The 8226-nt window shown below is 34.8% G+C and overlaps 1 annotated feature.

Moving 5' to 3' along the window:
- Positions 2281-2450: an enhancer, noted in NCBI's record as "experimental_88495 CRE fragment used in MPRA reporter constructs". NCBI's record gives its function as "activates a minimal promoter by MPRAs in K562 erythroleukemia cells, with activity observed for the introgressed 6:120818102 variant allele {active_cell/tissue: K562}" and the evidence as "EXISTENCE:reporter gene assay evidence [ECO:0000049][PMID:34662402]".

The raw sequence follows: 8226 nt of genomic DNA on the forward strand, positions 1-8226 counted from the left end.
TACAAAGGCTTGGAAGTGACACCTGATTCTAGATTTTCTGAAATATATCTATCAATAAAGAAAAGCTATAGATAGACCTCTTCAGGAAATCTAATGGTGCTCAGCCAGGTTAAAAAAAAAAATGTACTTGTGGGCTGGGCACAGTGGCTTCCGCCTGTAATCCCAGCACTTTGGGAGGCCGAGGCGGGCAGATCCCGAGGTCAAGAGATCGAGACCATCCTGGCCAACATGGTGAAACCCGTCTCTACTAAAAATACAAAAATTAACTGGGCGTGGTGGCACATGCCTGTAGTCCCAGCTACTTGGGAGGTTGAGGCAGGAGAATCACTTGAACCAGAGAGACAGAGGTTGCAGTGAGCTGAGATCATGCCACTGTACTCCAGCCTGGTGACAGAGCGAGACTCCATCTGAAAAAAAAAAAAAAAAAAAAAAAGTACTTGTGTAAATGAGAATCAGAATTTTAGCTATTAGAAAAAGTGTCTTTTTGTAAATTAACTTTCTATTATTCTCCTAGCCCAAGTGTTAATGTAATATTTTGTGGTACTTAATGTCAAAAAGAAGCTGCTGCTGAGAAATAGTTTCTTGTTAGCTTCCAAATGTCACCTAATCGTAACAATCAATCTCAAAACTAAAGGTACTAAACCTTTATCCTGGACAGATAGTAGAATGAAAATGCCTCTGGTTAATACTTTATAGTATGACTTTGTATTTAGTTAATTAATGATCATGGAAATGGACTTGGTAAACCAATTTAAACAGAGGAGTTTATCATGAATCAAGGTGAAAAGATTAAGGAAGCTCTAGAAAGAAATGGTGTGATAAATATTCATATGAAACCCAGCTTCTTAAAAAAATTAAAAATTTTAATAGTTAAATATAGTTCCAGAATAGGAGGCTTATTTGATTTTACATTTAAGACAGAGAAATTCATGTTTAATATCCAAATTTAATTATGTCATTTAATTTTATTTTTGGGAGTTCCAAATTACATAATCAATAGCAGTGTAGAATACATTATCAACTTCTTTTTTATTTTAAATGTATTGGCTCAATCTAGTATAATTTTCTCTATGTTATCATAATTCTGGATATCTGAAAAAGTTACTTTAAAAATATTAGTTGAAAAGTCTACATTTTAGTTTGTCTTTGTCCATTATATTAATAATTTGTCTGTCTAATAGGTAAAAAAATTTAACTGTAGAATTTTTCTTTCTTTTTTGAAAAAAATTGTAATATGTCATAAGCAGCCTTAGCAATTCCCCCATGTAAAGCTGCCTAACCACTAAACTTCTACTTAACAGAAGAATATGATGAATAAATTATTTTAGGTAATTTTGGTGGTTTTTTTTGAAAACTGATTCTGTACCTGTATTAAGAAATATTTTTCATTCTTAAGTTTAATAGTATTAAAGGCCTTGTGAAACAAGACATATATTTTTTCTTATTCCTTGACATATGAGATATGCGAATTCTATGCCACATAGTGAGTGAATAAACAATTGTCTTCAAACAACAAGGATGAGCTAAATGGAAGCAAATAAATATTAATAGTATAATTTCTAGAATTCCTTTCCTGTTAGCCCTCCTATTACTCAAAGATATTACTTTGGATATACATAATTGAGAACCATTGGCTTAAAAAAAGTATTTATCTAGGAGGAAAAAGAAAATATCTTCTCTACCTCTTTCAAACTACTGAAGAGCTGTGATTTAATTTTACTTTACCACAAGAGTTTTCTTACATGTCCTATCCTAAAGCAAATACTGAAGAATGAAGCAAAATGGACTACTTAATTTCATTTATAAAGTTGTCAGGTACATATTGTCTCTCCATATAAAAGTATGTTTTGATTTCATTCCGAAAGGTTAAATTGAGAGAAAACCATATCTTGTAAGTCACAGAACCAGTTGAACATCAAATCATCTACATTCTCCTAAACTCACTGGATAAACCTTTTTTAAATAAATGATAAAACATTCAAATTTTGCCTGTCAAGTAATGACACCTAAGGAGGGCCATGTAAGTACAATTTTCCAAAAGTTTTACATTGCACAATATTCCATTCTCAATACAATCATGAATATTCATGATAATATATTCATTTTAAATTTCTGGCACTGGGGTGAATATTTCTGAATTAGTATGCCTGATAAGAGTACAGCACATTACTGGAAGTTGAGATGAATGCTGGACTCCTTTAACCTTTATAAAATCTGTTTTTGAGTTTTTGCCTACTTCTTTTCCTCTCATCACAGCAGCCAAAGCCATAAACTCAGTGAAAACAATGAGAAAATTAAGTCAGCAAATACAAAACGTCATGAGAAATGATTGCCAGGAAGAGTCACAAGAATTTTCCAAAACTCTATTGAACTATATTCCCAGGACACCAAGTGGGGAAAAGCAACCATAATATATAATTGCCTTCATATACAATGAATGACCTGAAATTTATAAATTTTTCTTCAATTGGTATGAAGAAATTAAGTATTTGACCTGGTAGGTAAATTGTAGAACTTTTTATAAAAAGTATGAATGTAAGAATGAGGGAAATAAAGAACAAGGGAAAAGAAAAAGACAATTTGTTTTACTTTTTAAAATATCTACATCTTTTCTGTTGAGGTTTATTCAAACAACCATTATCAAATTCAAATTAGAACAGCTTAATAGGACTAATGAGTACACATAACAAATAACTATTGAGTAATTTCTGAAAAGATATCAACCTTAGGAAATAAAAGGCTAACTGTGCTCTTAAAGCTTCATTATATTTGGAGTTTGCTAAAGTGGTTCTTAAACTATTTTGAAAATTAATAGAAACTAATTGTCATTTTTTTCTTTGTCTTATAAGGTATGCATTTACCTTTAAATGACCAGGAAAATGAAGAGGGTTATCAACGTAAAAGAAGATTATTTCTCTATTAAAAACTTAAATTATCATGATTTCTTTCAAGATTTGTCTTTTATTCTTTGTGTTTTGCTTATTTTTAAGGGCTGTATATACATAATCTTTTTTATGTTTAAGGAAATAAACAGTAAGAAGGATGGTCAATTTGAACAGCTTTATCTATGAACTAGGAAAAGCCAGCATCCTAATGTATCACGTTTATTTTATCCCTTGAATGTAATGGACCTACAGGATTCCAGGTGCGCTGGGTCTCAGCACCACTTACCCTGTTAGAGTAGAGCAATGGCAAAAAGCTGTGGTGTTCCACTTTTCATCGAGTTCCTGAAACCCTTGGTTTACCTCTATGTTGGTCAGGTTCTCCACAGACACACAACCAATGGGCTGTGTTTATATATAGAAATAAATTTATCTTTATGGAATTGGGTCATATAGTTATGGTATCTGACAAGCCCCAAATCAGCAGTGTGAGCCATCAGCCTGGAGTCCCAAGGAAGAGTCAATGTAGCAGTTCAAGTCTGCAAGTTGTCAGAATAGTATAATTTTTTCTTGTTCAGGGGAGGTCAGTTCTTTTGTACATTAAGGCTTTCAACTGATTGGATGAGGCCCATGTACAATATGTAGGGCAATTTACTTTACTCACAGTCCACTGCTTTAACTGTCAATCTCACAAAAACATTCAGAACAATGCTTGAACAAATATCTGGGCACCATGACCCAGCCAAGTTTGGATGTAAGATTAACCATCACACCTTCCAACAAAATTGCAAAATGTAAAACGCTGCACAACCTAATAATTCTCTGTCTTAAACAGGTACACAGTTGCTAGAATTAAGGAGAATTGAAGAGGACTGATACAATGGTGAAATGAGGATATCTGTAAACTTTTCCTTTATAAAAGCAATGAAAATACTGGCAAAAATGATCAAAATTGACTTTTTATATTTTTATTTTTTTGAGATGGAATTTTACTCTTGTCGCCCAGCTGGAGTGCAATGGCAATATCTTAGCTCACCTCAACGTCCGCCTCCCGGGTTCAAGCAATTCTCCTGCCTTAGCCTCCCGAGTAGCTGGGATTACAGGTGCCCTCCTCTACACCTGGATAAATTTTGTATTTTTAGTAGAGACGGGCTTTTGCCATGTTGGCCAGGCTGGTCTCAAACTCCTGACCTCTGGTGATCTGCCCACCTTGACCTCCCAAAGTGCTGGGATTACAGGCATGAGCCACCGCGCCTAGCCCGAAATTGAATTTTTAGAATGGTAATTAGAAAAAGATTTGCAAAAGAATTTTTTAAAAAAGAATAATGTGAAGTGAAGAAAAAATTGCTGAACTTTGGTAAGAACAGTGGGCTTTGTAGAATTTTAACTCAGCCTACTCCAACCGCCCCCTGCTTCCTCCAGCTCCAAGTAGACTTGCAAAGCAGCCGCTTCACATTATAGTACATGTGAAAACCAGCAGCCTTGCAGCCATCAGAGAAGGCCGACTGTAGGTGGAATTCCTCATGAAAGCCCCATCCCAGTTGTAGTGTCACTATTTGATGTACTTGGTAGCTTACTAGAAAAGTCTCATTCTCAGAGTGATGTTGTTTTTTGATTGACATGGAACTCATTTGTTAGATAAAGGCCTATGCCCAGAGAGATTTTCAAAAATAATTAGCTACAAGTTTATTAAGGCTGCAATATCAGCTGAAACAAAGAAAAGCTTGATCAAAAACAGAAAAGGAAAACCTGTGTAATAGTTTCCTAGGACTGTTGCAACAAAGTATCACAAATTTTGTAGCTTGAAATAACAAAAATTTACTCTATTACAGTTTTGGAGGCAAGAAGTCCTAAATCAAATTGCTGGCTGGGCTATGCTCCCTCTTAAGAAATAGAGAGGAATCTTCTCTTGCCTCTTTTAGCTTCTGGTCATTGCTAACATTCCCTGGCGTTCCTTGGCTTGAGACTTCACTGCAGTTTCTGTCTCTATCTTCATCACATGATTGTTTTTCTTCTCTATGTGTCTGTGTCTCACATGGACTTCTTATAACAACAACAAACATTAAATTTAGAGTCCACCGTAATCCCATAGAGTCCCTTTTTTTTTTTTTTTTTTTTTGACAGAATCTCACTCTTTCCCCAAGGCTGGAGTGCAATGGCACGATCTCGGCTCACTGCAACCTCTGCCTCCCGGATTCTAGCGATTTTCCTGCCTCAGCCTCCCGAGCAGCTGGGATTACAGGTGCCTGCCACCACGTCCAGCTAATTTTTGTTTTTTTAGTAGAGACAGTTTCACCATGTTGGTCAGGCTGGTCTGGAACTCCTGACCTCAGGTGATCCAAACGCCTCAGTCTCTCAAAGTGCTGGGATTACAGGTGTGAGCCACCACGCCCTGCCCTTTCATTTTAAATTAACTAATTACATCTACAAGTATTCTATTTCCAAATAAGGTCACATTCTAAGGTTCCAGATGACATGAATTTTGGGAAGATGATACTCAATCCATTACAGTATGGAAATAAGACACCCAAGGGGTTGTGAAAAAATCTGACATATTCTTGGGGATCAGGAAGGCTGTGTGCATGTATAGGACTGTGTGCAGTCCACAGAAGAACTAAACAGACAACAATATCTCACCTCTGGTTGACCTTGAGGTCCAGTGCAAGCAGGCAGTAAAGGCTAAGGCAGATTTATAAAATGTCTAAGCATTGAAGACATGCCCCAAACCACACACTGAGCCCCTCTGCAAAGTGTAAAAGACGTAGTGGTTCAAGACATTCAAGGAAATATCTGTCCAATAATTAGATGGCCACTAGCTTAACTGAGCTTCCGGATCTTGATCCCACTATTTTAAAATTTTTATTGAAAGCTCTGCTCTTATTTTCAGCTGTTAGGGAAGCAATGTTTTTGACACCCATTGAGTAAAATAAAATTGCTCAACTTTAATTTTTCATTTAGACTTGTGTAAGCTAAACCAATTGAGATATGATGCTAGTTATTGTTTATGCTGTTAATCATTGGTCCTTTTCAATTAGGGCATGGACAAGATTAATTTTTTCCTTGCAAATTGCTGTGAATTGTCTGTGGCTGAAGGCTTCATCTTTAACGACATCCCATCTCTTCTTAAAATGAGTTATCCACTTGTAAACTGCTGATTTCTTTGGAAGCATTGTCTTCACAAACTTTGCAAACCATTAATGACTTTACTGCTCTTCCACTGAAGTTTCATTCTGTTATTTGATGTTTGTTCTTGCTTCAATTTTAGCAGAATTCATATGGCTCTGATTGGAGCCCTTTTCAAACTGATGTCTTATTCTTAGTTCCTTAAACTAGATTCTATTCAGACATGTTATAATGAGTTGGTATGAGTTTATTTTGGCACAAAACTTTTTGATATCTATGTGTACATAGGTTTACCAAAATATGCATTGTCCATGACTTTTTGAATATCCCTCATGTACCACAAACTCCAAAGCACAATAAGGTATTATTTCTAAGAAGCTTCGCTAAGAGAGCAAGTTTTTTAAATCTTATAAAAGTTACCTTATATTATGTATTGCTATGCTAGAGAATTTGGGATACAAAATTTTTCACTTCAAGAGTCACATTTCCTTAAGTCAGTAAAAGTGATGTGGTTACCTAAAAACTACATATGCCACCATTACATACACACACACACACACACACACACACGCAATTGCACTACATAGAAGAGACATATAACAAATAAAGCTGCAAAAGTATAGAAAAAGCAAGAAGTAAATCCCTCCTAAATTTTATGTATTACAGAATATGTAATGTATATTTTTTCTAAATAAGTTATTAACTTTAGTAAACTCTGTTAAAATACTCCAGAAACAAAATATAATCTCTCTCTGAGTAATTTTTATAATAATATGTTTTCTAACTGTAAAACTGTTCACTTTTTATTTAATTTCATCAATGTTTTATAGTTTTCAGTTCACAAGTCTCACATCTCCTTGGTTAGATTTATTCAAAATTATTCTATTCATTTTGGTGCTATTGCAAATTGGATTGCTTACTTAATTTTCATTCCTGGTTTCTTATTGTTACTGTACAGAAATAAAACCAATTTTTATTTGTTATCTTTGAATCCTACTGCCTTGCTGAATTTATTAGCTGTAACGTATGTACGCATGTGTGTGTTTGTAATCTTTGCTCTTCTCTCCATATAAGATCACATCATCTGCAAACAGAGATAATTTATATTGTCCCTTCCAATCTGTATGTCTTTTATTTGTTTTTCTTCCCTAAATACTCTGGCCAAGATTTCCAGTACAGTACTATGTTGAATAGTGGTGGTAAAAGTAGATGTCTTAGTTTATTTTCTGCTGCTATAACAGAATACCATACACTAGGTAATTTACCTTATAAGTATGTGTGCTAACTGATTGTGCCACTGGTGCCACTCACTAGGTAATTTATAAAGAAAAGAAGTTATTTGGCTGAGAAGTCCAAGATAAAGGGCTGCATCTTGGGAGGACCTTTATGCTGCATTTTCCCATGGTGAAAGTCAAAGGGCAAGCAAACATGTGAGATAGAGAGGGGAAATTGGGCCAAATTATTATTTTTTTAATCAGAAGCCCATTCACCAATAACTAACTCCTTCTCATGATAAGGGCATTAATCCATTCGTAAGGGCAGACTCCTCACAACCTAATCACCCGTTAAAGGTCCCGCCTCTTAATACTGCCACAATGTGAATTAAATTTCTACTTGAGTTATGAAGGAGACATTCAAACCATAACATTGGGCTTCAATTTTAGCAGAATTCATATGGCTCTGATTAGAGATCTATATCTTGTTCATGATCTCAGCAGAAAAGCTGGAGGTTGGTTCCTCAAAATGGTTAAGAAAATTGGCAAACCATTATCTAGATTAAGAAAGAAAAATAGAAGACTCAAATTACTAAAATCAGATGAACTTAAGTGTGCATGTGTCTTTATGATAGAATAATTCATATTCCTTTGGGTATATATCCAATAATGAGATTACTGGATTGAATGGTAATTCTTTTTTTTTTTTTGAATGGTAATTCTATTTTAAGTTCTTTGAGAAATCACCAAACTGCTTTCCACAATGACTTAACTAATTTACACTCCCACCAGCAGTGTATAAGTATTCTCTTTTCTCTGCAACCTTTCCAGCATCTGGTATTATTTGACTTTTTAAGTATAGTCATTCTGACTAGTGTAAGATGCTATCTCATTGTTGATTTTGATTTGTATTTCTCCAACGATTAGTGATGTTGAACTTTTCTTCACACGCTTATCAGTTGCATGTATGTCTTCTTTTGAAAAGTGTCTATTCATGTCATGTAACC

Source organism: Homo sapiens, chromosome 6 (genome assembly GCF_000001405.40).
Source record: "Homo sapiens chromosome 6, GRCh38.p14 Primary Assembly".
NCBI lineage: Eukaryota > Metazoa > Chordata > Mammalia > Primates > Hominidae > Homo > Homo sapiens.